The following is a 16,006-nucleotide window of genomic DNA, read 5'->3' as shown; positions in this document are numbered from 1 at the left end:
TTTCCAACTGTTTTTCTCTTGTTAAAATGTCTAGAGGTATTTTTTTCTAATTTTATGTTTGTTTATAATTTGTTAAATGTATCTGCATACTTAAAATTAGAAAAGGAATTTTGAGGATATTGCAAGCATATGTTATAGAAGCAGTATTTAACTGGAAAAATAAAATACTAACTTTTGACTTCCAGTAGTTAAAAACAGTTGTGTCTTTTTTTTAATGTTAAGTGGTTAAAGGATTTTTTTTTCCTTCCAAGATACTAATTCCAGGCATTTGTGATAACATATGTATGTTTTCTTTGACATATTGACAAAATAATAACTCAAATACTAATGTGGGGAAGTTAAAAGATATAGCTAGATCCTAAGAATATTTATTTCCAGAATTTTGTTTTGTATCATTTTTCCTGCAAATATCACATAGAATTTTGCAATTAGAAATACTACGGTGATGATTTCCCACACTATAGGGTGATGTGCCTGTTCGCAATTTTGTATTCAGAGTAATCTGTAGTTATTCCTCAGGTAATGTTGAGAGATTACAACCAAATGTTTTTGATCTTACAAGCACTCACTCATTTGAGTATGTTTATTACTGTGCTTACTATCTTTAAGATAGCCAGGCTGAAGTCCATAACAAATATTATAAAATTCTGATACAGTTTTCACTGTTACTTTTTTTTTTTTTTTTTGAGACAGAGTCTCGCTCTGTCTCCCAGACTGGAGTGCGGTGATGTGATCTTGGCATTCTGCAATCTCTGTCTCCCAGGTACAAGCAGTTCTCCTGCCTCAGCCTCTCGAGTAGCTGGGACTACAGGCATGTGCCACCGCGCTGGCTAATTTTTTTGTATTTTTAGTGGAGATGGGGGTTTCACCATGTTGGTCAGGCCGGTCTCGAACTCCTGACCTCAAATGATCCACCCACCTCGGCCTCCCAAAGTGCTGGGATTACAGGCATGAGCCACCGCGCCCGGCCACACTGTTACTTTTTTATTGCTTTTAGTATTTTTGTGATGTAATTTCCATTTTAAGACATAATTTTCACATTTGCTCCATGTGTAGAGGCAAACTTTTTATACATTTAAAACGACACCACCACTGATCAGTGTCCAAAACTGTACGAACAGTGATCGGAATAAATGTCTTTTCTGTGTTGTTCTCAGTGGTGATTTAAGGTTTCTGATTTAAACTTTGAATCATAGAGTCAGAATTTTATAGCTAAAAAGACTTTTAGAATTGCATAGTATAAAGCCCTAATCTTTACAGGTATATTTTACAGGATAGGTTAGTGCCTCGGTGAGCTGCCACAGAACCTGATACCAACTGCATGGCCATGGAAATTCTTCATAAAATTAGTCCCTGCCTCAATTTCAAACTTAGGGAACAATTTGGTAGTATTGGCCCAAATGAAAACATAGTTATAACCTTTTCATCAGGGCCCAAGGTAATCATTTCCTGCTTTAAAAAAAAGGCTTTTTAAAAATTTTCATCCAGAAAACAAATTCTAGGAACAGTTAATTTCTATAGAAAATTTACTGCCAAGAGAACAAGTAACCTCTGAAAACTCCTATCAATGCAGCATTAGTTTGAAAAGGGCAGAGTCAAACACAATTTTATGTTGTTACGGGATGTTAAAAACTGCACCCAGGGCTGGACACGGTGGCTCACTCCTGTAATCCCAGCACCTGGGGAGGCTGACGCAGGCAGATCACAAGGTCAGGAGTTCAAGACCAGCCTGGCCAACATAGTGAAACCCTGTCTCTACTAAAAATACAAAAATTAGCTGGGCATGGTGGTGCATGCCTGTAGTCTCAGCTACTTGAGAGGCTGAGGCAAGAGAATCGCTTGAACCCAGGAGTTGGAGGTTGCAGTGAGCCAAGATTGTGCCACTGGGCTCCAGCTTGGGCAACAGAGTGACACTTCATCTCAAAAAAAAAAACAAAAAAAACTGCACCCGGCCACCATATGCTTTATGTAATGTGTATAGTTTTTTAAATGAGATATTGCTGTCATATTGTAAGATGAAACAAAATAGACTGATATGTGAAATATTTAAAGACTTTTGCTGATTTTATATTTTATGGAAACTGTTTTTTTCTTTTTTTTATAGAAATGCTTACTCATGAAACCAGTTCATATTTGTAATAATTTTGTGAGTCAGAAATAGTAAGTTATGTAATTTAAAAGGAGTGTCAGAATTATCAAGTTGTTTGTTTTTTTTTTGACACTTGGTCATACATAATTTGTGACAACTGGTATTTAAAAAGTTTGTGTTGCTTTTCTCTTCAAAACATAAGCTTTCTAATTCTCTATAAAATAACTCATTCTGAGATTATTTTTTGACAGTAAGAAAAGTACGAGTGTTAGGGAGAGAAATACATTTCTAAGCTAGTACCCACTGTTTAGTTGACAGGGCACATTATGCATTTGTGTGCAGCTGTGAAGCGCTACCTTCTGGACACTCAGCAAAAATACATCTTCCGAATGTATTCCAGATGCTGATAGTCCGGAGGGGCATGTGCTCTTCTAGCTCCCTGCTGCTGTGTTATACTTCTGGTAATGCCAGGGTACCAATTGGAAAATTTGTTCACGGTTACCTTTGTTTTCCTGATATAGAAAACTGATGATGTGGTTTCTAATAGAACAAAAGCATAGTAATACAGTTTCTGTTATTAAAGGAAAAAAAATCAATCTTTTAACCATTACAAAACTCAGGATGTACTTAAACTATACAAATGGTTTAATATTAAACAATTTAAAGTTATAAAAATACCAGTTATAAGGAGAAAACTTTTTCTGAAATAATTGTATTTTTGCAGGAATGGTATATGCGTATTTTCAGGAAACTAGGAAGTGTTTTCCTTCTTAATCATAAATTCATAGTCCTAAAAACCTTCAAGAGTAAGTGAAATGTAACAGTTTAAAGCATTCTTTTTTATACTTTAAAAATGTACATTTTAATATAAATTAGAAGTTTTTATATGTATTTTTAATGTGACGCTAAGTTTGGGCCCCTTTATTTTTCTCTTTAAAGTATGTTAGAAAATTCATATTTTGATATTCATTTCCTGAATTCCACAATTGATAGAAGTGACAACTGTATAAACTTCAAAGGAAAATGTCATAAATCACTAGAACATCCACACAAACATTTTTATATGAAAAAAAGTCAATTAGAAAAAAATACTTTCTTCACTGTATTTTTTTTCTCTGTCACATTTTTTTGGTAACACAGTGGATTTTATAAGTCTTCTTATCTTAGCTTTAATATTTTCAAAAATACAAATGTATGCACAGCATTTATTTAGCACAGTGGCCAAAACATAGTAAGTCTTCAAAAAAACTTCTGTTGCACTAAAAAATCTGTTCAAATGATTTATTTTCTATTTATCTAAGACCTACCAGCTAGAATTTGTGGGGATCTGGAGAGAGAGATGATAGTGTGTCACGTCCAGGGGCACACGGTAGGAGGGCCTCAGTCAGATCAAGCCTTTTCTTACCACACAATCACTATTTACCTCCTCTGCTTAGCGTTTTTTTGCTATAGTTTTGTTGTTTATTTATCTATTGGTTTATTTTCTGCCTCCACCACCAGAATGTAAACATCTTGAGAGCAGGGCCTTAGATATTATTCATCACTTTATCCCCCGGGCCTGCAATTCCTCACATGCGGGAGGGAGCTCAATAAATACCTGTTAAATGTTATTGAATAGTTTGCATTATCAGAGACACCAAAATGTTACTTTAATTTGGAAATATGTTTTATATTAGCACCTGAAAACAACTCCATAGGCTTTTAATATTCTATTAAGTTATAAAGTAAAAAATATATTTTTTAGTGTCAGTCACTTACTACATGTGGTGGGAGTTATTTGTGGAAGGTCCAATGACTGTGGGGAACATGGAGATATATTTACTTCTTATCCCTGAGAAAACAGCAGTCTTTGGTGGAGATAGGCAATACCTAGCTGTTAATGAACTACAGACTCTAGAATGTGAAGTCGATTAAATTATATACATAAATTATATACATTCTCACTGCTGTCAGAGGGCAGAAAAGATAGGTAGCACTTTAGGTAGATAAGAGGAAGAGGTGACCTTGTGTAATAGCTGTATTTCAAGTGGCATCTTTCAGGATGTGGGTTTAAATGGATGAAGAAGAAAAACTGAGTGAGGCCTTTCCAGTAGAGAGGATAGCAAATAAGGCAGCAAAATGTAAGGTGTATTTTTGTAGGGAGAATATTCAAGTGTCCTATGCACAGTACTGTAAATACTCTGTAAATGCACTTTGAATTCAGTTTATTTTGAAGCTCTTTGAATACTCAGCTAAAGAGTGGTGTTTTAGACTAACAAGGTAAATTTTACCTCTTCAAGCCAATGTCCTTACTAACATGCTTGGCAACATGGAATTCTATTCCTAAAGGCTTTTGTGATCCATTTTAGAAAAATTGTTTCCTAATTCTCAGCATAATTTGGATTGGAAAACATCGGGGTAGACTTTATCCTGCCGGTTTTCTGGAAGACTTCTCAGATGAGAATCAAAAAAGCAGTATTTGAGTGTGAGACAATAAAGACAATTTCTTGATGGTAGTAGAATGTTCTGGCTTCTGGCATATGAAGTGTGAGGTGAAAAGGATCCACACTAGATGACTGGCATCAAGAAACGCCATAGGGAGTGAAATCCCATGTGTCCAAGAAACAAATGGTGGGATTTGGGGATTTAAGTGTAAAGTGTGGCATTAAGGGAGAAGTCAGAGGAGATTTATGCTACAAAAATGTGTAAGTCAGCTACATTTAAAGAAACAGAAGATTCTGAACTCCATTATCTTTCCTAGTGCCAAAAGTTGTTTTGCAAAATGTGATTTTTCCTGCTACTTTTTGTGTTTATAGCATTATCCTCCCACCACCACCCAATTTTGCTGAACTGAGAATGACTTTTAAAATCTGTTTAGAGAAAATACTTTTTATTTTATTTAATAAATGCCTTATTTAAGAGTGGAGCAATTGAGCAAGAAATAGCCTCAGAGAAGCAGACCATTAAATCAACTAAGCAAGAGTATATAGAGCATGCTATATACTCTGTATATCTCTCCTTTCTTCCCCAGGTAACCCAGGCCTGCACAGTCCCATGTTGGATCTTGATAATGATACACGTCCCTCAGTGTTGGGCCATCTCAGTCAGACAGCGTCCCTGAAGAGGGGCAGCAGCTTTCAGTCTGGTCGAGACGACAGTAAGTATCTCCCTCCACTGCCACTGGGTCTTTTAAATTTGTACTCGTGTAATTTCAAACATTCTTCTCTTGGAAAATTCCCCAATTTGTGTTGATACTGGTGCTAAGTATTATCAGCCATCATCGCTTTTGCTTGTTACAGTAACTACCAGTAATTTAATAATTAAAATATATATTACATTTAAAGGAATGCTATTTGATTTTTAAGTCATTGGGTGCAGGTCAGTGCTTATTAAACATATTTAGTTCAAGTCTAGTTTTACTTTTTCTGTGGTTGAATTTTTTTAAAGTGCCACAGAAAAAAATTCTGTGAGAACTTCATTAAGATGGAATTTGCGATAAAAGTAGTATCAGTATACCTTTTTTGATGAAATTTAAACTTTGGTCTGGAAAGAGGGATTGGCTGTTAATTAACCATAAAATACTTGCTAATAATTTTTCCTAAGATGAAGCATCTAAAATTTTAAGTATGTTGCATTTCTGAACTTTCTGGAGTGGATATTTACCATTTTCCTATTTGAGATACAACATGATCGACTATCAGGCATTCTTGCACCAAATTAGATGCCACTAGTCAGGAGCCATTTGTGATCTCAATAACAGATATAAGAAACCCAAATAGACTAATAGAAATACCTTACATTGTATTAAATTCAGATACCTGTACAGTTGTTTTAAAATGTCTTATATTATTCTTAACAAGCATTGCAGTAGGGAATTTTTCGAAGGTTTTATTAATATAAATGAATGTTCATCATAAGAGCACCTTAAAATTAGATGATTCATTTGTACTAAATGAAAGGCTTCCATAACTGTTGGTATTCCTTCTTCTTGTCCGATTCTCATTCCTCTCCCAGCTCACCAAACATTAGAACAAACAATGTTAGATCAGAACCGTTTGCTCCTACATTCTGTGGGACAGCAGCTAACATTATATAATGTTCAATGTAATTGCACAGAGGAGCTGAGATCTTTTGAAACATTATTCTTGGGAAAGATACCATGTAAGAATCCATTTGCTGCCATATTAAGCTGTGTTAGTCTGTTTGTGTTGCTATAAAGGAACACTGAGGCTGGGTAGTTTATAAAGAAAAGAGGTTTATTGGCTCACAGTTCTGCAGGCTGTACAGGAAGCATTGCGCCGGCATCTGCTACTGGGAGGCCTCAGGAAGCTTCCAGTCATGGCAGAAGGCAAAAGGGGAGCCAGCATGTCGCATGGCAGGAGATGGAGCGAGGGAGAGGATGGAGAGGGAGCGAGGGAGAGGATGGAGAGGGAGCGAGGGAGAGGATGGAGAGGGAGTGAGGGAGAGGATGGAGATGCCAGGCTCTTTTAACCCATTTCCCATTTAGGGAAAAAAGGTGCAGCTCACTGCTGGTGCTCACTTAATTTACATAAACATGTTCTTTGAGGCTGAAGCAAATATCACTGATTTTCAGTGTGAAAACAAAATATAAGAACTGTTCTTGGAATTATTTCTAAACAACTCGTCTCTAATCCTAATGTAATAGAAATGTAAATGGTGTTCCATTAGGATTAGAGACAAGAGTGTTCTCGGGGCACACGGGCAATGGGTGAAACAACTAGATCTTGTGTGAACTCATAGAGCAAGAACTCACTCATTATTGCAAGGACACCAAGCCATTCACGAGGGGCCCGCCCCCATGGCCCTCCTGCAACATTGGGGATCACATTTCAACATGAGATTTGGTGGGGACAAAACATCCAAATCGATCAAAGGCAAATCTTTCAGTGCTTCCATTTTTAGATTTTCTTGTCCTGTTTTTCACCTTGTCATTGGACCCTTGACGCAGCTGGCCATGGCCTCGCCCTGTGGCACGCCACCTGCCATCTGGAAAACAGGCATTACCAACTACTGTTGGGGAGAGGAGTCTGTAACTGCTGTCTCCAGATGAAACCCACTCACCTCAGATTACCATCATGGTGTATTCAATTGGTTAATTGACTGTTCTGTTAGATTCTAAGCTGTGAAGGCAGAGCCTGCCTTGTTCAGCATTCAGAGTGAGTTTTGATCTTGGGTGGAGCCACATGATAAGCACACGGTTAATCCTCAATAAATATTAGCTGAATGAAAAATAAAAGTTTACAGTGTGCCCTTAAGTAAAGAACCGTTCCTTTCACACCTGTGAAAATGAGTTTAAAACTTTTTCCTGCAACTCCTAGCATAGACAAAGGGCTAATATACCTAATAAATAAAGAGGCTCTATAGCCTACACAGAGGACGTGTCAGTGGTTCTTACACGTGTGAGTAGACACTCAACCCCACAATAGTAAGAAGAAAGGTCGCATAACACTACAATGAGATACGAGGTTGGCAAAAACTCTGAGTGTTTATCGTTTTGTTTTGGGTTTTCTATGTTTGTTTGTTCATTGATGAGGCCACTACTTGCACGTGTCACCGGTGGAAGTATGAGGGCATACTTCCTTTAGAGGGCAGTTCAATAATATCTATCAAAATTACAACCACAGGTGCTCTTTGTCCCAGCAATTCTTGTTCTGGACGTTTTCTATGCTTTCACTTGAGCATGTGCTAAATGATATAGGTATACAGTTACTGGCTGAAACATTCATTTTAATTGCAAAAGACCGAAGACAGTCTTGTCCATTGGAAGGGAACTTGTTAAATTACGATACGTCAAAAATGTGAAAGGCAGTATAACTGTGGGGAGAAAAAGAGGAAGCCTTTGCCTTACGTTTGAATACAGAAGAACTCCAGGATCCATCGCTAAATGGAAGAAGCCAAGCTTCAAAAGAGTGTGTTTGGCCTTTCGTTTGTGTAAAAACCAAAAACGTGTAAAGAACAGTTGGGAGGGAGAAAAACACATTTATACTTGCTTGTGTATATAAAAAATATTTCAGAAAGAGTCACAATAACTAGTGACAGTGGTTTCTTCCGGCTGGGAACTAGGCACTTGGGAGTGGAGGGGCAGGAGGTAGACTTTTCACTGTGTACCTTTCAGGTGTCATTTTCTAACCATGTATTACCTGATCAAATAACTATTTAAATTATTAAATCATTAATAAATTATTAATACAATTTTATTAATAAAATTTCTTAATAAAATTAAGAAATTTTATTAATACAGTTTATAAAATTTGCCCTTCCTTCACTGGACTAACAACAGCAAATCCTTTTGCTTGGGGGTATTTGGAAAGGAAGCTAGCAATTAGCCTGGCCCAGGGAATAAACGTTCTCATGGGAGTCCACCTGCCCCTGAAGTTGCTGAGTAGGAGTTAGAGCCTGATCCGCGGCGTCATTGTGCTGAGGACTGGACGGGGTGGACTCTGCAGTGCCCCTGCCATGGCCACCGAGTGGAGTGCGGGGCGGGAGGCAGGTGGGAGGCAGCAGGGCGAAGGCATGGCCCTGGGAGTGAAAAGAAAGAAGGGAGACAGAGGACATGGTGAGTGGGTCCTGAATTTCTACACTTGCTTTATTCCCATGAACCTGTTCTTCCCACAAGAAGTCTAAGCCCTTATTTCCCAGTTACAGCAATAGCTATGTTAAATGATGTATAGCCAAAGAGGTTTCAACGTTTCTAGTTTTTCTTAAATTTCTTTATTTTAGGTGGGGTTATTTAGTATGTGATTGCACTAGAATGTTTCCTTGTGATAACTGGATTCCTTCCTGCATTCTCACTTCCCAGGGTGTATGATGGCATTTCTCACAGGCTGATCAGCTGCAATTTCACAACTGGCTGCACAGCAGCCCCTGCCTTTGCTGTTAGAAGGCGGGACTTTTTGAAGAGACGTTTACTATCCAGAGGACAAGGCTGATAAGTCAAAGCCACCTCCTCTCGGTAGCCCTCCCAGTACTGAGGCTGTGGCCACCTGGTCCCTTGCCCTGGCTTGCTGGTCAGCCATGAGGGAGAGGGGCTCTTCCTTGCCAGAGGGCAAGGAGAAATGCGGGGGTGTCTGGTGACGAGCGTACCGCTGCCGGTGTCAGCCAGGTGGGCCGCGAGCGTCCACGCAGACTCAGGCTATTCCTAGTGCATGTTGGAGTTTTGCGGGAGTGGAGGGGGGTGCGCCAATATGCTCAAAGGTGTTTTCTTGATTCAGAAGTACAATCATAGTATTTTATTCTTTTCCCCCTTAGCGTGGAGATACAAAACTCCCCACAGGGTGGCCTTTGTTGAAAAATTGACAAAACTCGTCTTGAGCCAGCTGCCTAACTTCTGGAAACTCTGGATCTCCTACGTTAATGGAAGCCTCTTCAGTGAGGTGTGTATACGGACTCGGCTAGAGGTGGAGCTGAGTCACCGTGCATTTCTGGTCTTTAAAATGTTAGATTTAAGTGATTTTTTAAAATGTAGAGGCCCAACATCTCTAGCCATCGTCATAGTTTAAAATCAGTTAAAGCATTATAAAGCCCTCTCACTTAGTAGCTGTGTGACCTCGAACAAGTCACTTTTCCTCATGTACAAAAAGAATAGTCTGGGCACCTGTCTCAAAAGGTGGTTGTAGGGATTAAATGAGATAGGCAATTAAAGAAAAAAGAAAGCTCGAACTCTTTTCAGGGACTCCGAATTGAGATATTGCCAGTCAGGCCAAATTCTGGGTGATGTGCGGTAGACTGTGAACAAATGAGGAAACAAGGATAGCACCTTGGCAGCCGGCACCCGGAACAAAGTCATCCATAGAGTATGCAATTTCCCTTGGAAAGGATGTAAACATTCTGCAGTCTAGCCCCATTGTTATCAGCTTACAGAAGTTTTTATGAGCCCGTCCACCTTCTGCAGTCACACATTTATTAATGCTTTAGTATCTTCATCATCATATGACTGATAGCATAGAAGGCATGAACATAAAGGAATGACTCTGTTATGTGTGGCACATGGAAGTCAGTCACTTTCTAACCTCACCTCAAGTGCGCCATGAAAGGCCTCCGGCTCCTGGACATAGATTCTAACGCCCTTTGTCCTAGGCTGCCAAGGGCACCCCCGTGGGAGACTGAGAAGACAGGTGTTTCGTGTCTCTGCAGGAGACCGACTCTACACCAAGAGCTCTGGGGGAGATAGGGGTCTTCTGAGAGTAAAGGCTACTTTCTGCTTCTTTTTGACTTGGCAACACACAAAATGGACATGGGCAAAGGCTAAAACCATTTTTGGTTTTTTGCACAAAGGCACAGCCTTTGTGGTTTAAACCTCTCCTCCTTGGCGGAAAGTGGCTAAGTGTCAGAGTACCTCAGGTGTCTTTGGAGTCTCATTTGGCCATGACCATAAATTCATGCTGATATTAAGGAAATAGAGATGTGCTCTGGAACTTTTTTCTTTGTATATTTGAACTCCAAGTGCCTAGTATCTCCGTTGTAAACCCGCTGGATTCCTGCAGCCTTGTTTATGTGAATGGTTGGTTTTCTAACCTATAAAATTTACTATGTGCATAAAAACAGAAATGTGTAATGCATGAACACAAACTCCTTAGTGCAGAAAAACCAATCGTGTAAGCACAACTTATCAATGCATTTTTTCTTTAGTTTCAGTTATCAGTTACTTTATAAGTGAACATTCAAATATTAAAGCAATACACAACTTTCTTTTCTTTGTTAGTTATGTATGAACTCTATTGAAAAGTTGACTATACAGAGGAAGTTCTTCCATGAAACGAACGTCAGGTTTCGCAGGTCTACATAATGAGAGTTGCTTATTGCTGGCTTAGGAAGTGAATAATTTCAGTTTTGTCCTGATAAGTCTTTCCAGTACTCTGCTTCTGTGTGTCACCATCAGTTTGTGTCTCTGTGATCTCAGCTGGGTGAGCTGTGGGGCTCACCATGCTGAGGTCAAGCCTTGGGTCCCCCTTGCCCTCTGCACAGTGACAGTAGTGGCACCGCAGGCACCAGCTTCCTCTCTGTGTCTGCTCTGTCCCTAAACCAAATTGTTCGTGTGGGCAGGAAAGATTAGATGCTCCCCTGTCATGCCTTTGGACAGATGGCATTCATAGGTTTTCACGCAGAACACTAGGAGCATAATAGAAACATCCAGTGTCTATCACTTCCTAGCCGTGACCTTAGGCAAATTACTTCTCTGCACCTGCTTCCATAGGACTGGTTTGAGAATTCAATGAGTTAGCATGAGTGAAGTGCTGATAATAATGTCTGACAGATAAGTAAGAGTTTGCTGTTATTATTTGGAGTAAAATTTATTCCAGTATTTCCACTGTTTGAAATCTCATCGGCCTGGCACATGGTAGGTGTTCAGTGAACAAAATTTTGTAACATTAGAAAATAGTAGACTGATGAACTGCTGGAGTAGAATTGAATAATGTCAAGCTGAATCAACTCATCTAAAGAATTAGAATTACTCTTTTAGGGCCAGGCGCGGTGGCTCATGCCTATAATCCCAGCACTTTGGGAGGCCGAGGCGGGTGGATCACGAGGTCAGGAGATTGAAATCATCCTGGCTGACACGGTGAAACCCCATCTCTACTAAAAATACAAAAAATTAGCCAGGCGTGGTGGCGGGCGCCTGTAGTTGCAGCTACTCGGGAGGCTGAGGCAGGAGAATGGCGTGAACCCGGGAGGCGGAGCCTGCAGTGAGCCGAGATCGCGCCACCACACTCCAGCCTGGGCGACAGCGCGAGACTCCGTCTCAAAAAAAAAAAAAAAGAGAAAGAATTAGTCTTTTAGGACATGGATTTTAAGCCGTAGTGTTTGTTTCCAGCCAAGTGTTTTTCCCTCATTTGCATCAGTTCCTACAAGTGGCCCACCACACATGGACAGTAGTTGCCTTCCCTGGAGTCTTTTTGAGTCATAAGATTCCTAAGAATTTTTGATCTAGGATATTTTAGTGAAAAGGGAGTATGTTTTGCTTTCTTACAGATTACATACCAAACATATAAATGAAATATTTGGTCGTAGATGAAAAATAAATCATCTACTTCAGAACTCATGCACAACATTAATGGTGAAATGAAAAAATGACTCTTAATTGGTTGTGCTGAATTGGATATGCCTATGACGTGTCTACCTGTCTATGTTTATAAACTTAAAAGCTTATAGCAATAATTACTAATTACGTGTAATTTGCTCTGCAGATTTGGGCATGCTTTGAAACTGTGTGCCCTCTTCTGAAGAGCTAGAGGAAAGCGCAGGGCTGTAGGAAGGAGCAGAGGAGCTGGGGACACTTGCTTCCCTTGCCGGTCTGCAAGTGAAACCCAGAAGCTGGATTGAATTCTGGGAAGAGTTCTGGGGCTTTTGATAGCTATTTAATCTCACACAAGAAAGCATGATAGTTTTTAAACACAATTTATTTGAATTTTCTTATTTTTCTTGTTATAAAACTATCTTGTTGTATTAAGAGCCCATCCGTTAAAAATTTAGATGAAGTTTCCAACAGTTTAAAAAATAGTCAGTTCTTCAAGCCAGTGAAGGCCATGTGAAATAACAAATGTGAATCAAAACAGTGAAATCAGCCGTTGCTCTCACCACAAAGCAGTTTTGGTCTGCGTGTGCAGGAAAGAGTTAAGGTTTCTAGTTAACGAAATGGTTAATAGTAGGTTAAGATCTCACCTTTAGATATATCTTAAATATAGTGTATTTTTAGATAAAAATCTTTAAAACAGCCAAATAATTGATGAATATTAAGAGTCAGCATTTTAAAAAGTTACATAACTCAATAATATATAAATTAAAATGCCTTACATATTCCAAAATTAGATTTTCTTTTAAAAATAGGGCAAACTTTACATAATCCATTGTGTTGGAGATATTCAGCTCTATTAAATTAAAACAGTAAGTAACAACTGAAAGCGGTCTGCCCCACAACTAGTTCCCTTCCCCGTCTACTTTTCATGTGTTTGGAGACAAATCCTTGAATTTTACAAAATTACTGTCCAGTACATTTCCTCATGCACTCATGAACACCTATTTGTTGGGCAAAATTGTTGTGGCAAAATTTAGCCTTAATTTTTATATGTTTTTTAACAACAGATTTTCACGCTTTTCTTTGATTTAAAAATATGTAATAGAACAAATGACTATGAAATAATCTTCGCATTGCACAGTCTTACTATGTACAAAGTTTGGTATCAGGTACTGTGGAGGATACAAGCAGAGGATATGCCCTTTGACAGTCAAGACTCTTGCAGTTTTATACTGGCATGTGCCTCCCTCCATAGCAGGTGAAGCAAGCGTCCACGAATCAGGGTGCTCCAGGGCAATAGAACCAATAGGATGTGTATGCCTATCCCTGCACTCACACACACACATACACGAAGAGATCTATGCTAAGGGGTTGGCACATGTCATTATGGAGACTGACAAGCCGCAAGGGTCTGCAGGATGCATTGCCCAGCTGGATGGCCGATGCTGTAAGCTCCAGTTTGAATGCCAGCCGGCTCGAGACCTAAGGAGAGCACATGTTTCGGTTCAACTATGAAGGCACATAAAGCCCACAGTGTCCCAGCTTGAAGGCAGTCAGACAGGAGGAGTGCCTCTAACTCATGGGAGGATCAGCTCTTTTGTGCTGTTCAGGCCTTCAACTGATTGAGCGAGGCCCATCCACATCCCGGAGAGGTTCTGCCGTGCACAGTGCATTGATGCGCATGTTAATCTATCCAGAAACACCTCACAGACACACCTAGAGTAATGTTTCACCAAATGTCTAGCACCCTGTGGCCCAGCCAAGATGACACCAAATTAACCATCACAAGGTCCTTAACAAAGATTTAGCTCCTGACATTCCAGTAGGTGCTGGGCTCCGCAGCAGTGTCTGAATTCAACAAGCAAAGCAGTCCTCCTAACCCCCAACCGTCACACAAAGCTCTCCAACCTCTGCTCATCCCATTTGCTGACATCTGACATCTCCGGGAGAAGAATTGGGCATGTTAGGTTTTTCAGGAGTAAATCATAGGGTTACGCCTGGCAGATCTGCCTCCCGGGGCCACTCTCATGTCGGGACCCAGAGCGTTTGGGGCAGTTACACTTTCTTAAGTATATTCAAGAAGATCTTGGAGAACCCTAACCCTAGGTGATCATTTATTCACCAGGGCCCAGGTACTGAGACACACATGCATGCATGCACACGTAATATACACATGCACATGTATGCATGCACACACACAACAGACACACAACACATCATGTACACGTATGTAGACATGTATGAAACATTAATGTATAACACATGCATATAAATGCATGCATGTACTCAGTATGTAGACATACACATAAATTTACACATATACATATCTACAATATAAATAAAAGTCACCAAAGTAAGCATGACCTTTCCTCTTCTAGAGACAGAACTCAAATAATTTTTTTAAATTATTATTTTAAAAATTCTGGTAACAGCTATAAAAGAAACAAATAGGGTTGTAAGACAGAATATCAGCAATGGGTTGGAGGTCAGGGAAGGCCGCTCTCTGGAGGTGATATTGAAACTGACACATGGCACAAGAGAAGGACACAACCACACAGAGGATGGGGGGAAGCAGGCCCCAGGCAGCGAGAAGGACGCCTGCAGCACCAGGAGGGCAGCTCAGCTTATCAGAAAAGGAAGAAGCGTCCTGAGCAGTGGGAGGGCTGGGAGGGACAGGCCCAGCTGGCAGTGGCTTCATCCCAGGCCATGGGGCGGGGAACAGACCAGCTTTCCAGTTTTAAAAAACCCACCTTGGTGGTGTGTTCAGAATCAATTGGTGGGGACAAATGTGGGGGAAACCATGGAGGTCCTCCAGGCAGGAAACAGTGGTGGTTTGGATAAGGTTTCGTCAGTGGAGTTGGAGAGCAGTTGGTAGGTTTGGTTGTATTTTGGACGTGGTGTTCAGGTGAGGGAGAGGAAAGCAAGAATTCTGACGTTGCTCGCAGTGGGCTCCTGAGCAGGAGTGCCGTATGCCAAGCCAGAAAGACCTAAGAAAGAGCATGCTTGGAGGAAGCTTCAGATTTCCATTGATAATGTGGTAGATTGAGATTCCTGGGAGTTATTCAATATTCACATATGGGTCACAGAGGAGATATTTGGGCTGGAGATAGACTTTGGAAGGCATTAGATAGAAATGATATTTGAAGCCACGGGAACAAACTAGACGGTATAGACAGCAAAGAAAAAAAGTACCCAAGCCTAAGACCTAACAAACTGCAACATGTAGAAAAGAGCTATTTGTCACCTCAGTGAGCAGGGCATTCATTTGCTCGATGCCCATACCCCATACCACCAACCACGTTCTGATTCTGGTCTTCACACTGGGCAGACAGAAAGCAGCTGAACAGACACTCAGAGCCGCTGGTGTTAGCCGAGCGGGCGTGCGTTAGGTGGGGGTCCCTCTGCGCATGCCTCCTTCCTCACTGCAGCACCAGGGCAGTAGGTTCTCCTTCAGGCGGCCTGTCTCAGCCACCTGGGCTCACCTGCTGCTGTCTCAGTGTGGCTGTGTTCACCTGGGCCACTGCAACATCCTGCTGGCTGGTCATACTCGCACACTGGCCCCTCATTCCTTCTTCTTAATGTAGGCCTCACAGCACTCACCTGCTTAAAACACTTCAGTTCCTTCTCATTTGTCTTAAAAATAAAGGAAAAATCAACCTATGAGTTAAACCCTGGGGTACAAAGAATTTTAAGTGTCATTGACCAGTGAACTCAGGAGCTAGCTTTTTGAATGATTATTGAGATGGATTGCAGGTTTAGTTTTTATACATACCTTTAATTCTTTCAAGACAAAAACATATTTCTACAAAGAAAAAAATGATAAAAGCTGCGTAGTTTAATATAAAATTTAAAAATGAATGGAAACTACAGTTTGAAGGATGTTGGTCTGTGTATGTGCTGCCCGT

At 40.3% G+C, this 16,006-nt stretch overlaps 1 protein-coding gene across 18 annotated transcripts in view; it reads left to right on the top strand.

Annotated features, from left to right (window-relative positions):
- EXOC2 (exocyst complex component 2) overlaps window positions 1-16,006 on the top strand; it is a 207,986-nt gene that overhangs the window by 111,158 nt on the left and 80,822 nt on the right. For all 18 annotated transcript variants that reach the window (NR_073064.2, XM_017011022.2, XM_017011023.2 and 15 more), the window contains 2 exons: window positions 5,100-5,225; window positions 9,338-9,462. Coding sequence is in view for 17 of the 18 variants with exons in the window: in XM_017011022.2 (XP_016866511.1) it covers window positions 5,100-5,225; window positions 9,338-9,462 (251 nt within the window). In the remaining variant the exon portion in view is untranslated. The remainder of the gene's footprint in view (window positions 1-5,099; window positions 5,226-9,337; window positions 9,463-16,006) is intronic.

Source organism: Homo sapiens, chromosome 6 (genome assembly GCF_000001405.40).
Source record: "Homo sapiens chromosome 6, GRCh38.p14 Primary Assembly".
Lineage (NCBI taxonomy): Eukaryota > Metazoa > Chordata > Mammalia > Primates > Hominidae > Homo > Homo sapiens.
Note: the sequence above shows the minus strand (reverse complement) of the source record. Positions and strands in the feature narration are given on the sequence as shown.